The sequence below is a fragment of the Homo sapiens genome, chromosome 6, assembly GCF_000001405.40.
Source record: "Homo sapiens chromosome 6, GRCh38.p14 Primary Assembly".
Classification (NCBI taxonomy): Eukaryota; Metazoa; Chordata; class Mammalia; order Primates; family Hominidae; genus Homo; species Homo sapiens.
The window spans coordinates 134202880-134218413 of NC_000006.12; the positions used below are offsets into that span (position 1 = coordinate 134202880).

The following is a 15534-nucleotide window of genomic DNA, read 5'->3' on the forward strand; positions in this document are numbered from 1 at the left end:
TGAGGGTAGAGTGGGGTAGATGCACCTACATTGTTTGCAAATTTTGACGATGGTCTATGAAAATTTAAAGTCATTTATTCTCAGCTGGGTACAGTGGCTCATGCCTGTAATGCCAGCTCTTTGGGAGGCCGAGGTGGGCAGATCACTTGAGGTCAAGAGATCGAGGCCAGCCTGGCCAACATACTGAAACCCCGTCTCTACTAAAAATACAAAAATTAGCCAGGCGTGGTGGCACGTGCCTGTAATCCCACTACCTGGGAGGCTGAGACAGGAGAATTACTTGAACCCAGAAGGTGGAGGTCACAGAGAGCCAAGATTGTGCCACTGCACCCCAGCCTGGGCAACAGAGTGAGACTCTGTCTCAAAAAAATAAAAATAAAAATAAAGTCATTTATTGTAATCTTCAGAGCACCACTGAAAATGTGATGCAAAGAGGATAACTAGAAAGTCAACAGGTAAATTAATATTAAATTCTAAAACCTATTCAAATAATCCTAGAGAAGTCAGGAAAGGAAGAATAAGCAAACAAAGAAGAGAAGGGACATATAGAAAACAAATAGCAAAACAGTAAAGTTAAATCTAACTGTGTCATTACATTAAGTATAAAGGGGCTAAACATCACAAGTAAAAAAAACAGAGATCATTAGATAGGATTTTAAGAGGAAAATCTAACCACATGATGTCTATAAGATAAGCACCTTAACTATAAGACACAGGTTGAAAGAAAATGGAAAGAAAAATATGCCATGTGAAAAGTAGGCTTTAGAAGATTGGACTGGCTGTATCTATCAGAAGAAATAGACTTAAAACAAAGACTTTTACCAGAGATAAAGAAGGAAATTTCCTAATGATAAAATGATCAGTTCATTAGGAAATAATAATAATCATAAAGATGTGTGTGTGGTTGGGCACGGTGGCTCATGCCTGTAATCCCAGCACTTTGGGAGGCTGAGGTGGGTGGATCACCTGAGGTCAGGAGTTAGAGACCAGCCTGAACAACGTGGCAAAACCCCGTCTCTACTAAAAATACAAGAATTAGCTGGGAGTGATGGCATGTGCCTGTAATCCCAGTTACTCAGGAGGCTGAGGCAGGAGAATTGCTTGAACCCAGGAGGCAGAGGTTGCAGTGAGCCGAGCCGAGATCATGCCATTGCACTCCAGCCTGGGCAACAAGAGCAAAACTCCACCTCAGAAAAAAAAAAAAAAGTATATGTGCCTAATAACAGAGGTTCAAAATACATAAAGCAAAAATTGACTGAATTAAAAGAACCAAAAGACAATTCTACCACTAGAGGTGGAGATTTTAAAACACTCTTAGTAATGGACTGACCAACTAGGCAAAAAATAAATAAATAAATAAATAAATAAATAAATAAATAAATAAATAATTACTCTAGACATAGATCCTACTTTATGAGTTGGTTAAGTTGGTGACTGGGAAGGATCTTCATGAGATGAGCTCTTGTAGGAGGGACACTCCATTCTTTGTAACACTACTGATGAAGGAAAAGTAATAAAAACGTTTTAAAAATGAGTATGTCTATTGCACCACTGCACTCCAGCCTGGGCGACAGAGCAAGACTCCATCTCAGGAAAAAAAAAAAAAAAAAAGAGTAAGTCTGAAATATTTCTATTCCTATTTCTCTATGTGTTCTGCATTAGTTTTTCTTGTAACTTTTTTTTTTTTTTTTGAGATGGAATTTCACTCTTTTTGCCCAGGCTGGAATGCAATGGCACAATCTTGGCTTACTGCAACCTCTGCTTCCTGGGTTCAAGTGATTCTCCCGCCTCAGTCTCCCAAGTAGCTGGGATTACAGGCACGTGCCACACCTCCCGGCTAATTTGTGTATTTTTAGTAGAGAAGGGGTTTCACCATGTTGGCCAGGCTGGTCTCTAACTCCTGACCTCAGGTGATCCACCCACCTTGGCCCCCCAAAGTGCTGGGATTGCAGGCATGAGCCACCACACCCAGCCCGTAACATAATTTATTTAGGCTTCAAAAATTGTCCAAGCAACATTTTCTTTTTCTTTCTTTCTTTTCTTTCTTCCTTCCTTCCTTCCCTCCCTCCCTCCTTTTCTTTCTTTCTTTCTTTTTCTTTCTTTCTTTCTTTCTCTGTTTCTCTCTTTCTCTCTTTCAGTGAAAGCAAGTTTATTAAGAAAGTAAAGGAATAAAGAATAGCTGCTTCACAGATAGAGCAGTCCTGAGGGCTGCTGGTCAAGCACCATTTTCTAGACCTGTCCTGTACAGATTTCCCTCCCTTTCCATTTTCTTTACATAACATCAAGAATCATTTATGTTCCTTTGGTAATGTTTCATTCTACATTGCTTCTTCATAACACATGTGCTGTAGATCTTACTAGCAGTATTAGCCAGCAGATGGCTTGTTTATTGTGGTGGTATACTGCTGATGGACTGAAATGATGGCATAAATAGGCTAATTCACTTTTATGTTTTTTCTTCTTTCTTCAAAAGATATAATAAAACAAGACAGAAAACAATTTTTTGACAGATGAAATTGATAATGTTTAGACCGTAAGTCTGGTCTTTGAAAAAAAAAAAAGCCATCAGAAAGTTTCTCACTTTCCTTCTCAAGTCCTCCTGTTTCTGCTAATAGGCACAGCCTCTGACTCCCTTTTATGAAGAACAGATTATAGCACAGATTTAGCCCAAGCTGTTTCTGCTAGGAGAGCTGCTTCTTCCTAAGAAGCGTGCTATAGAACTGGGCAGTCCACTCTCCATTCTCCTAGCCTTGGTATTTTCTGGCTGCGAGCTTTGGATATGTCAGCTAACCTATTCAGCTTATTATTTCATTTCTAATAGAGGCATAACAAGGAAAGGGCTGTCTCTCCTATTTCAAGGGATTGCGGCAAACACTACATTAGATTTCTGTGAATACTCCTTGTAAAAGCGTGAGGCATAATACAAATATCAGATATCAGCGTGAGTTTTCTATTTCATTAGACCTATTTCATTAGAAAAGGTGAAAGCTCTATTATCACTCTCTTAATTGTTTTAGCTCCTTTTTGCTTCACCTTCCCTTTTATTTCTAGTGTCTACTTTGTGCAATTAGGCCTCACGGCTCATGTGTGTTTGTGAAAAAGAATTTTTAAATGTCTTCTATTTGCTATGAGAACATACCCTACTCTTTGTCTAAGCGTAATTTCTAATCATATAACCTGAAGCATATTCTCCGATCTCATAAAGTGGCATTCTTCTGATTCTGATTAGATGTACAGCCCTAATATCATAGTGCAAGTATACATGCCCTCCCATAAGTATTCTGAAGTATGATTCACCCTAGGTTTTCAAATCTCTTCCTTGCCCTAGAAAACAAACTTGGACTCATGTGTTTGCCCACTTTATTCAACTCCTCTGTCTTCTACTCCAGCAAATAGACTCATTCCTCATTCCTCCCAACACTTAAATATGCTTCACAATCCACAAAGCTGTACCTGATGATATATATATATATATATATATATATATATATATATATATATATATTTTTTTTTTTTTTTTTTTTTTTTAAATGACAGGCAGGTAATGTGCAGACATCATAACAAGGCTTGAAGGAGGCATATCTCACACAGGAACATGAAAACCCAATCATCACACTTATAAACGACAAAGGGATCTAGTATATACGTTTTAGATACTGAAAAGAAGACATAACAAAAGGACTTTTAGGGTAAAATTGATTGCAAGGCTAGGTATGGTGGCTCACACCTGTAATCCTAGCACTTTGGGAAGCCGAGCTCAGCAGATTGCCTGAGGTCAGGAGTTCGAGACCAGCCTGGCTAACATGGTGAAACCCTGTCTCCATTAAAAATACAAAAATTATCCAGGCATGGTGGCTCATGCCTGTAGTCCCAGCTACTTGGGGGGCTGAAGCAGGAGAATCGCTTGAACCCTGGAGGTGGAGGTTGCAGTGAGCCGAGATCGTACCACCGCACTCCAGCCTGGGCGACAGAGCAAGACTCCGTCTCCAGAAAAAAAAAAAAAACAAAAAAAAAATTAATTGCAGTGTATTCGAGTGTTGGGTTAGGTAAGAATAAATAAACAAGGCCGGGCGCGGTGGCTCACGCCTGTAATCCCAGCACTTTGGGAGGCCGAGGCGGGCGAATCACAAGGTCAGGAGATCGAGACCATCCTGGCTGACACGGTGAAACACCATCTCTACTAAAAATACAAAAAAATTAGCTGGGCATGGTGGCGGGCGCCTACAGTCCCAGCTACTCGGGAGGCTGAGGCAGGAGAATGGCGTGAACCTGGGAGGCGGAGCTTGCAGTGAGCTGAGATTGCGCCACTGCCCTCCAACCTGGGCAACAGAGCAAGACTCTGTCTCAAGAAAAACAAAAAACAAAAAACAAACAAACAAAAAAATATTTCCCCCCAAACCTTGCCTTTGTGTAGAGCTTTACTACAGAATGTATCCTGTACATAACAGGAAACAGGTTGTATTTTTCCAATAATACCTGGATCATCATTAGTCCAGAAGGTTCTTGGATCGGGCTTGGTCAGGATGTTGGCATGATTACATGGCTCTCTCACCTTTAAAACATAAAGAGAAAAGAAGTGATATAAAAATGGCTTCATCATTTCAGCTATTTTAGGCTTATAGTTCTAGAGAAAGGATTCCAAGGCTGAAACTAGTACATATGGCATGTCTGTGCTCTAATTAGGGTGGTTTTCTCAGGACCGTGCTGGGTATAGCACTGAAAGTCCCATATCCTGGGAAGCCTTTTAGTCCTGGGCAAACCGGGACAGTTGGTCCCCTTACACATGAAGCAGTTTCACTGGGCTGATGGCTGGGTTAGCACATGGGCGCTGGAGCTCACCCAGTGCTATGTGCAGTGCACAAACTGCACAGCCGTATGAAGAGGCCCTGGATTATTAGCAAATTTATCAGTGTAGACACTCAATACATAAAAAGTGTTTGAATCTCCACATAACAGAAATGATACTTTTAGTACATATTGCTTGGGAAAATACATATTAATTAAAAGCTACTTTTAATTCAGTAGCACTTTAAATGCTTTTTTTGTTTGTTTGAGACAGTCTTATTCTGTTGCTCAGGTTGGAGTGCAGTGGTGCAATCTCAGCTCACTGCAACTTCTGCCTCCTGGGTTCAAGCGATTCTCCTGCCTCAGCCTCCTGAGTAGCTGGGATTATAGGCGTGTGCCACCACGCCTGGCTAATTTTTGCATTTTTAGCAGAGACGGGGTTTCACCATGTTGCCCAGGCTGGTCTCGAACTCCTGACCTCAAATGATCCGCCCACCTCGGCCTCTCAAAGTGCTGGGATTATAAGCGTGAACCACCGCACCTGGCCTGCATTCTTATTTTATAATCATAACAGGATCTTTATATTCTCAAATAGCAGCACATGTACATATGCAATATGTATTATTTAGTCCACTTAGAGGCTCTTCTTAGTGCAGATACATGTTTTTAATGATAAATAATATTTATTGAGCATTTTCTGTCAGGTATTTTTTCATTTTTAAAAAAATTTCAATAGATTTTTGGGGAACAGATGGTGTATGGTTACATGGATAAGTTCTTTAGTGGTAATCTCCGAGATTTTGGTGCACCCAACACCCAAGCAGTGTACACTGTACCCAGTGTGTAGTCTTTTATCTCTTGCCCCACTGTCACCCTTCCCCTTGAGTCCCCAGAGTCCATTGTATCCTCTTTATGCCTTTGCGTCCTCATGGCTTAGCTCCCACTTATGAGTGAGAACATATGATATTTGGTTTTCCATTCCTGAGTTACTTCACTTAGAATAATGGTCTCCAATTCCATCCAGGTTGCTGCAAATGCTATTATTTTGTTCTTTTTTGGCTGGGTAGTATTCCATGTATGCGTATATATATATATACACATATATATGTGTATATATAGATATACACACACACATACATATACACACATACACGCATGTATATATATGTATGTGTGTATGCATACGCATACATGTATGTGTATATATGCATATACATACATGTATGTGTGTGTATATATATATACACACACACGTGTTTTTTTCGTATATGATTTCTTTTCCTCTCGATAGATACACAGTAGTGGAATTGCTGGGTCAAATGGTAAATCTACTTTTAGTTCTTTAAGGAATCTGCATACTGTTTTCCATAGTGGTTGTACTCAGATACAATTAATAGATTTCATATAACAAGTTCCACAGAGCAGCAGTGATCCATGTTTTTGACAGCTTTATACTACTGTGATATTAGCTTTCAAATATATTCTCAGGCCAGGCGTGGTGGCTCACCCCTGTAATCCCAGCACTTTGGGAGGCCGAGGCGGGCGGATCAGCTGAGGTCAGGAGTTCGAGACCAACCTGGCCAACATGCTGAAATCCCGTCTCTACTAAAAATACAAAAATTAGTCAGGCATGGCAGCGCATGCCTGTAATCCCAGCTACTCAGGAACCTGAGGCAGGAGAATCGCTTGAACCCGGGAGGCAGAGGCCGCAGTGAGCTGAGATCGTGCCACTGCACTCTAGCCTGGACGACAAAGCGAGCCTCTGTCTCAAAAAAACAAACAAACAAACAATCAAATATATTCTCATGAAGTTAAATATAGATCTTAGTGTTAAAACTGCTTTTCCATTTATATATATTTTGTAATGTGATCATTTGATTACTGCAAATATTCTATAGTTTCATCAACTACTTAGTGGATAAATTCCTTCCATTGCAACAATAATCAAAATACTCAAGAATGACACTAAGGTCATTGTTTAGTTTCACCGACATTTTCTCTTTATAACAAGGCTTTTGTTTTTCTTTGTTGAGATGGAGTCTCGCTTTGTTGCCCAGGCTAGAGTGCAATGGTGTCATCTCGGCTCACTGCAACCTCTGCCTCCTGGGTTCAAGTGATTCTCCTGCTTCAGCCTCAATAGTAGCTGGGATTACAGACGTGCTCCACCACGCCTGGCTAATTTTTGTATTTTTAGTAGAGATGGGGTTTTGCCATGTTGGTCAGACTGGTCTTGAACTTCTGACCTCAGGTAATCCGCCCACATTGGCCTCCCAAAGTGCTGGGATTACAGGCATGAGCCACCGTGCCAGGCCTGTGAAGCTCTATTGACGAAGGAAGCAGTGCATGAATTTACCATCTGGTACAAGCTCCTTCTCTTGTGGACCAGTATCAAAGAATATGTGGAAATCAGAGAAATTGGGATCTCAAAGAGGTATTTTCACTTCCATGTTCATTACAACTTTATTCACAACAGCCAAGATGAGGAAGCAACCTAAATGTCTACTGACGGATAAATTGATAAAGAAATGTGGTAAATACATACAATGGAATATTATTTGGCCTCAGAAAGAAATCATACCATATGTGACAACGTGGATGAAACTGGAAGATGTTATGCTAAGTGAAATTAGCCAGTCACAGAAGAACAAATATTGCACGATTCCGCTTACATAAGGTATGTAAAATAGCTAAACACATAGAAGCAGAGAATAGAATGGTGGTTTCCAGGGGCTGCAGGGAGGGGCAAATGGGAAAATGCTTGAGTTGCTATTCAATGGGTATAAAATTTAATTTAGGCAAGACGACTAATTTCTAGAGATCTGCTGTACAACATGGTGCCTAGAGAACATTACTATATTGTGCACTTGAAAAATTGTTAAGGCCAGGTGCAGTGGCTCACACCTGTAATCCCAGCACTTTGGGAGGCCGAGGCGGGTGGATCACGAGGTCAGGAGTTCGAGACCAGCCTGGCAAACATGGTGAAACCCCATCTCTATTAAAAATACAAAAATTAGCCGGGCATGGTGGCGGGCACCTATAATCCCAGCTACTCGGGAGGCTGAGGCAAAATCTGGGAGGTAGAAGTTGAGGTGAGCCGAGATTGTGTCACGGCACTCCTGCCTGGGCGACAGAGCAAGACTCCGTCTCAAAAAAAAAAAAAAAAAAAAAAATTTTAAAAGGGCCAGGCATGGTGGCTCACGCCTGTAATCCCACACTTTGGGAGACTGAGGCGGGTGGGTCGCCTGAGGTCAGGAGTTTGAGACCAGCCTGGCCAACATGGTGAAACCCCGTCTCTACTAAGAATACAAAAATTAGCCAGGTGTGGGGGCACACGCCTGTAATCCCAGCTACTCAGGAGCCTGAGGCAGGAGAATCGCTTGAACCTGGGAGGCAGAGGTTGCAGTGAGCCAAGATTGTGCCACTGCACTCCAGCCTGGGCGACAGGGAGACTCTGTCTCAAAAAAAAAAAAAAATTGTTAAAAGGATAGATCTCATGTTATGTGTTCTTTCCACAATAACACAAAATCTAGAATAGATTGCCATCCTATTTTGTCAGTATATCAGAAAGGAACAGAAGACATTTGATACATAAATATGTAAGTGGTCTATATTTTATAAGTGGAATTTTTTTTTGTAATTGTAATACATTTTTCATTTATAGGAAACATGATTGTAGATGTAAGACTGAAGGAAAAAATGCCATTAAAATTTAAATCTCAAGAAAAAAGGACAGGCCTCTTGCCTCTTTGCCTCATTGAAATCCTGAAAGCAAGATGCATCAATAGCAGCTCTACAAGAGCCATTAGTGAAAATTTGGCCAGGGTTCTCGCTCTTGTTGCTTCTGCTCCAACCAGCATGGTTTGACCCAGATTATGTGCAGCCAATTTTTCCATCAGTATGCAAAGTAAGAGGTAGACTTCATTACGTTGGGCTAAGTGATCTTCCTTGAATAGATTACCAAAATCATCCACCCAGTGAAAGAAACCATGCTAGCTCTTTGCACGTAAAATAAATTAAAAAGAAAATAAAAGAAAGAAGAAGAACAAGAAAAAGAATGTGTGGAGCAGTAACATTTCCTGGACTACATTTTGAGCAGCACTGTAAAATATCCCTCCTACTGAATCACTTGAACCCGGGAGACTGAGGTTGCAGTGAGCCGAGATGGCTCCACTGCACTCCAGCCTGGCGAGAGAGCGAGATTCCGTCTACAAGGAAAAAAAAAAAAAAAAAAAAAAATCCCTCCTACCTGACTAAGCAGCCTCAGTATGAATCCCTTCTCAGGATTTATCTACTCCACTGAAGTACTACTTCAATTGTTAGAAAGCTCTTCACAGGTTGAATTGAAATCTGGGTCCTTGAAACTTTGGTTCCTGTTTTTTTGTTTTTTGTTTTTTGTTTTTTTTGGGGGGGACGGAGTCTCTCTCTGTCGCCCAGGCTGGAGTGCAGTGGTGCGATCTCGGCTCACTGCGAGCTCCGCCTCCCGGGTTCACGCCATTCTCCTGCCTCAGCCTCCCGAGTAGCTGGGACTACAGGCGCCTGCCACCACGCCCGGCTAATTTTTTGTATTTTTAATAGAGACGGGGTTTCATCATGTTAGCCAGGCTGGTCTTGATCTCCTGACCTCGTGATCCACCCGCTTCAGCCTCCCAAAGTGCTGCGATTACAGGCGTGAGCCACCGCGCCCGGTGATTCCTGTTTTTAACTCACTCTTAAATTACAAAGAACAGGTCTACTCTCTCTTTTATGAAATAATATCTCAAATATTTGAAAGTAGCTATTATGTCTCACCTTAGCTTTCCATTTCCAAGTTAACCAGCCCTCTTCCCTTTCACTGCTCTCGAGGAGCTTATTTTAAGTCTTTTTACTGAGGTCACTCTGCCCCAGAAGACATCCTTTCCAGTAAGTGAACTAGTCCTCAGGGAGCTCCCAGGCCAGGGTTAGATAATAGTCACAAAACTAAGGAGTTGGTTTTGAGGGACAGCTTTCAGGAAGGACAGCCAGCATTATTTCCACATACAAGTAATTAAAATGTTCCCAAGCACCTATAAATCTAACATACCATGGGAGTAAAGAATGCTTTATGACTTAGCCACTTTTAATATTTTTTAATGCCAAAAAGTTTTAATTGATTTTCTACAGTAACTATATACCTATTTGGGAAAATTGCCATATGCGAGCTTTCTTTCTGCATTAAGCTCCAGTTACCTTGTTTCCTTGAGGCTTTCGTATGAAGCAAATGCCATTCTTACAGATCTCATTTACTTGTGAATGATTATCACTATTTGTTCAATAAAATCTTCCCCACGTTGAAGCTGCTCCTGATGAAGTCAGGGTCTTCAAGAATTCTTGTTCTCTGTGTCATTATCATACAAGTATCACACCATTCTTTATGGTTCTCAAGAACCAAAGCATCCGCGGCAAATTACCCGGAGAGCTCATATAGTAAATTTTAAGCACAAGTTTATAGAAATCCTTGAACTATATATACTGCAACTGTTTACAGGCAATGCTCTATAACTCCTATAGCTTTAGGTACTTTGCAGAAGCGAGAAAATTTATTATCAGATAAAGTCTTGGCCGGGTATGGGGGGTCACGCCTATAATCCCAGCACTTTGGGAGGTTGAGGCAGGCAGATCTCCTGAGGTCAGGAGTTTGAGACCAGCCTGGCCAACATGGTGAAACCCTGTCTCTCCTAAAAATACAAAATTAGCCGGGTGTGGTGGCGCACACCTGTAATCCTAGCTACTCTGAAGGCTGAGGCAGAAGAATCACTTGAACCTGGGAGACGGAGGTTGCAATGAGCTGAGATCATGCCATTGCATTCCAGCCTGGGTGACAAGAGCAAAACTCTGTCTCAAAATAAATAAATAAATAAATAAATAAAATGTCCTCATGAAACACCTGTGGCTTAGCATTCCAGCCTGGGTGACAAGAGCAAAACTCTGTCTCAAAATAAATAAATAAATAAATAAATAAATAATAAATAAATAAAATGTCCTCATGAAACACCTGTGGCTTAGCAGGAAGTTGGAAGCTAAAGAAGTGACCAGCGCCTGGAGTTTGGCTCCTGGCTGAATCCACATGGGCTCTTTGGTTCTTTCTTTCTTTCCCTGGAATAAGGATTCAAGGAGAATTTCTCCAATAGGATATATGCCATGGGAGTATGATTGAGGAGGGGCAAAAACGTGATATAATAAGAACAGCAAAATAACAGTATGCAATTTTAAAATATTTTATTATAGAAAGCTTAAAGCATACACAACAGTAAACTGTATAATAAACCTCTATGTACCTATCAACCAACTTTAACAATTATCAATATTTTGCTAATCTTATTTTTACCTATCTTGCCTTACTTTTTGGCTGGAATATTTTAAATCAAGTCTCAGACATCATAACAATTATCTGTAAGTTATTAAAAAAAATTTTTTTTTTTGTAGAGACGGGGTCTCACTTGTTTTCCCAGGCTGGTTTCAAACTCCCAGCTTCAAGCAATCCTCCCACCTCGGCCTCCTAAAGTGCTAAGATTAGGTGTTAGCCACCACTCAAGGTTTATAATTTCTTCAGAATGTGTTTCTGACAACTTTTTTTTGCCTAACCACCATGCCATTATCACAACTAACAATTTCAACAATAATTATGTTTATTAAAATTAAGGCTCACGCCTGTAATCTCAGCAATTTGGGAGGCCGAGGCAGGCGGATCAACTGAGGTCAGGCGTTCGAGACCAGCCTAGCCAGCATGGTGAAACCCCGTCTCTACTAAATATACAAAAATTAGCTGGGTGTGGTGGCGCATGCCTATAATCCCAGCTACTCAGGAGGCTGAGGCAGGAGAATCCCTTGAACCTGGGAGGCGGATGTTGCAGTGAGTCACCGTACTCTAGCCTGGGTGACAGAGGGATACGCTGTCTCAAAAAAAAAAAAAATTAATGAAAGTAATTAAAGTTTAGTTATTTAATAAATGACAGCATGTACATTCTGAAAAACAGAATATGTGCAGTATTCTGCAGACAGAATAATTTGAATAAAATTTGAATTTAAAAGATACCATTTCAAACTGTAAGCCCCCTAAAAATCAGTGGACCTTGGCTTCACTTGTTTAAATCCTCATGGCTTCTAGAAGTTTTGGGTGGGGGGACATCTTTAAAAATTATTTTTCTAACAGAAGTCTTACTATTTTTCAACTTATTTTCTATGAGTCCTAGGAGGTAGAAAGAGATTTTTCTTGTCTGATAGACTTGAAAGTATTGGGTTAGGTAAGTGGAAGAAAGATCATATTTAGAAGGTAACCGTTGAATGTTTAATCACTATTGTTTTGACATCTAGAAGTATTGTCATAGGTTACAATTTAAACATCAGAAGATGGGGGTGTATGAGAATATCACATTTAGGGAGATGTCAGTTGTCCAGAAGTTTTGCAGAGAATCTGGAAAATAAACATGAGAGTAAGTTTTCTTTCTTTCTTTCTTTTTTTTTTTTTGAGAGAGCTTTGTTGCCCAGGCTGGAGTACAGTGGCTGGCTGACTACAACCTCCGCCTCCTGGGTTCAAGCAATTCTCGTGCCTCAGCCTCCTGAGTAGCTGGGATTATAGGCGCCTGCCACCATGCCTGGCTAATTTTTGTATGTTTAGTAGAGACAGGGTTTCACCATGTTGGCCAGGCTGGTCTCGAACACCTGACCTCAAGAGATCTGCTCACCTCAGCCTCCTAAAGTGCTGGGATTACAGGCATGAGCCACGGCGCCTGGCCGAGAGTAAGTTATTAATAGTTCTACTGATGTCAGAAATAAGATGTAGTCTGAATTCCATGAATTGTTTCCAGTTAATGGAAAGTTGAATTGTGGTGGAATTGGTAGGGAAAAAAAGCAGTTATGGTCCTCTGTCTCCATTCTAGTTCATCCTTATTTAAAGAATATTACTCCAGGCAGTGAGCACATGCGCGCGGTGGCTCATGCCTGTAATCCCAGCACTGTGGGAGGCCGAGGTGGGCGGATCACCTGAGGTCAGGAGTTCCAGACCAGCCTGGCCAAAATGGCAAAACCCCGTCTCTACTAAAAATATAAAAATTAGGCCAGGCGTGGTGGCTCACGCCTGTAATCCCAGCACTTTGGGAGGCTGAGGCAGGTGGATCACCTGAGGCTGGGAGTTCGAGACCAGCCTGACCAACATGGAGAAACTACGTCTCTACTAAAAATACAAAATTAGCCAGGCGTGGTGGTGCATGTCTGTAATCCCAGCTACTTGGGAGGATGAGGCAGGAGAATCGCTTGAACCCAGGAGGCGGAGGTTGCAGTGAGTTGAGATCGCGCCACTGCACTCTAGCCTGGGTGACAGAGCAAGACTCCATCTCTAAAAACAAAAAAAGAACATTTCTTCAACAAAATAAATATATTCACGTATGCATAAATTTTTTAAAACTTTTTTTCTTTTTATAAAAAAATCAGTTTTCTCAGGTTGAAATGTTAAAATCACCTCTGATGAAGATAGAGAACTAAAATATAAAATATGGGTTTGTCTCTGATTCCTTTTTGGTTTATAATAATTTGCATATGGCTTTCCATGGATCACTTTAGCAGTTTGTGCTAAAGTCATTAGTTCTTCCTAAGATACAAAAGAAATTCTCAAAATGCTTGTTTCCTATTAGGCAGGGAAGTTGTTTTTCTCATCTCTCAAGTTGCATGACCAAAAGTAGCAAAAATACTTTATCTCTAGGGAAGTGAAAGCTTGCTTCTCAAATTGCTTTAGTGAGGCTTTAGGAAATGGCCCCTGGCTGGTATCATAGGATATAATACCGTCTTGCAAATAGTAATTTTGAATTCAGTTCTTTGTATCTATGAGATAAAAGAGTCTTCTTCCATTGACTGTCTTAGATGGGCTTATCACATTCAACAGTATTTACTGAGCATTTGTTTTAAGAAACTACTACCCTAGTTGCTAACTCATTGCTCCCTAGACATTGTATTTGGATTGAGGAGCAGAACATAGACATCAACAAAACAGATCTGGAACCCGATATCATGTACCTCTAAATGTGAAGTATGCGGTAGAGCTAATGTTTTGTCAGAGTTTAAAGAAGGAAGCAATAATATGGGCAAAGTTGTTGAGCAAGGCTTCAGGGAGGAAGTAGAACCTGAACAGGCTTTTAAAAACACTGGCACCATTTGGATTGGTGAGGAGGCGGTAGAAGGGTGTCCTCTCTGGGTGGGACAGCACAAACAAAGGTGTGGGAACAAAACTCAACAAGGCACATTTGGGCAACACTTGGTTGAGCAATTCCATGGGAGTGCAAGACTCATGGGCGAAATCATTGGAAGCCACATGGTGGAAGGCTTTAAATGTCAATGTGTTCTTCATGCCATGGAAATTCAGAAGGCTTGGCAGTTTGCAGGAAAGACCAGAATTGAAGAATACAGGAGCTGAGGGGATCAGGGGACTGCTATAACAACAGGGAGTTGACAGAGCACGAACTCACATGGGAGCTCTGAAAGTGAAAAGGCAGGGATGGGTGTGGAGGGCAGCTAGAAGAATGCTTTGCAAGACTTGAAGAATGACTGAAAACTAGGGAAGATGGGGGAATCCAAAACATTTCATGGCTTTGGAATTTGGTGACCAGGCAGATGGTCATAGAGGGTCAAAGCTGTCCACGAGCTCCAGCAACAGGAGGAAGCACAGCATTCTGTGCTCAGACTAGTGTGGCAGGCCTGCAGAATGCGTGTGGGCCCTTGTTCCTGTGCTTGGCTGAGGGCTTCCTGAGAGCAGTTGCTCCATCTCTGACCCACCGGACCACTACTGCCTTTGGATCCTGGGTGGTGGGCTTCACTCACACAGTCGAATGGGTTTCTCATGCCTTTGTCCCTGGGCTACAGTCCTCCACTTCACACCACACCGGTCAAGATGGAATGTGGCCACATTATCTCACTACAGCAAACATGCCCATAGTTTGCAAATTTGGTACATCAACCGCCACGCTCATAAAGATGATGGTTTGGACCAGGATAGCAGGAGTCTGGTCAAGAGATTAATGCAGGGTCAGAGATCAGGAGTCTTATCATCTTGATCTCTGCAAGCTAATGATTTATCCTTCTTCAATTGCTTAACATTAATCACATTTATATAACATGAGGCCTAGGAACAATACTTGACCCCACAAGAGATTGTGATTCCAAACAACTAGTCAGATGTTCCTCCTTTTGTGGTTTTATTTCATTTGCATTCTTTTTTATTTTGATATTTTTCAGTTTGGCCTTTGTAATTGCAAACAGCTTAAGGCAATTCACCACCCAACCCACTTCACTTATTTATGTTTCCTGCCTGGCTCAGCAAGCACTTGAATTTAAACTCTGGTCTACACAAGGTCAAGATATTCAGGTCAAATGTCTATTAAATCAAATGTTTTCTATATTCTACACAACTAGTAGAGTTCAGAGGATCAGAGATTTGGGGACCTGAAGGGGGTCTTTTATTAATTCCCCCCTTGCATTATGGTTGAGACAATCGAGGTCCAGAGGGTAACGTAACTTGTGTTAGGGACCAATTAAGGGCTGGAGTCCATGTCTTGAGTTACATTTTAAGATGTCAATTGAGAACGGATACGGGTTTCTTAAAACTCAAATTTATCCTCAATCTTGAAATTTATTCAGTTATTCATTTAATAAATATTTGTGGATAACTTATTATACAATAGGCACAGTGCTAGGAGCCATGGGCATAGGTGTGAACAGACAGACAGATCTTGCCCTCATGGAACT

At 41.2% G+C, this 15534-nt stretch overlaps 1 protein-coding gene, 1 non-coding gene and 1 pseudogene across 2 annotated transcripts in view; 1 reads left to right on the top strand and 2 right to left on the bottom strand.

Moving 5' to 3' along the window:
• Positions 1-15534, bottom strand: part of SGK1 (serum/glucocorticoid regulated kinase 1) — a 148857-nt gene that overhangs the window by 33624 nt on the left and 99699 nt on the right. Inside the window, exon 3 of the mRNA NM_001143676.3 lies at positions 4477-4552. Within this exon, the coding sequence (NP_001137148.1) occupies positions 4477-4552 (76 nt within the window). The remainder of the gene's footprint in view (positions 1-4476; positions 4553-15534) is intronic.
• On the bottom strand, positions 3532-3635 carry LOC124901531 (small nucleolar RNA U13). The gene has a single exon (XR_007059962.1). It is a non-coding gene; the product is annotated as a small nucleolar RNA U13 (small nucleolar RNA).
• On the top strand, positions 8571-8648 carry RPS29P32 (ribosomal protein S29 pseudogene 32; annotated as a pseudogene).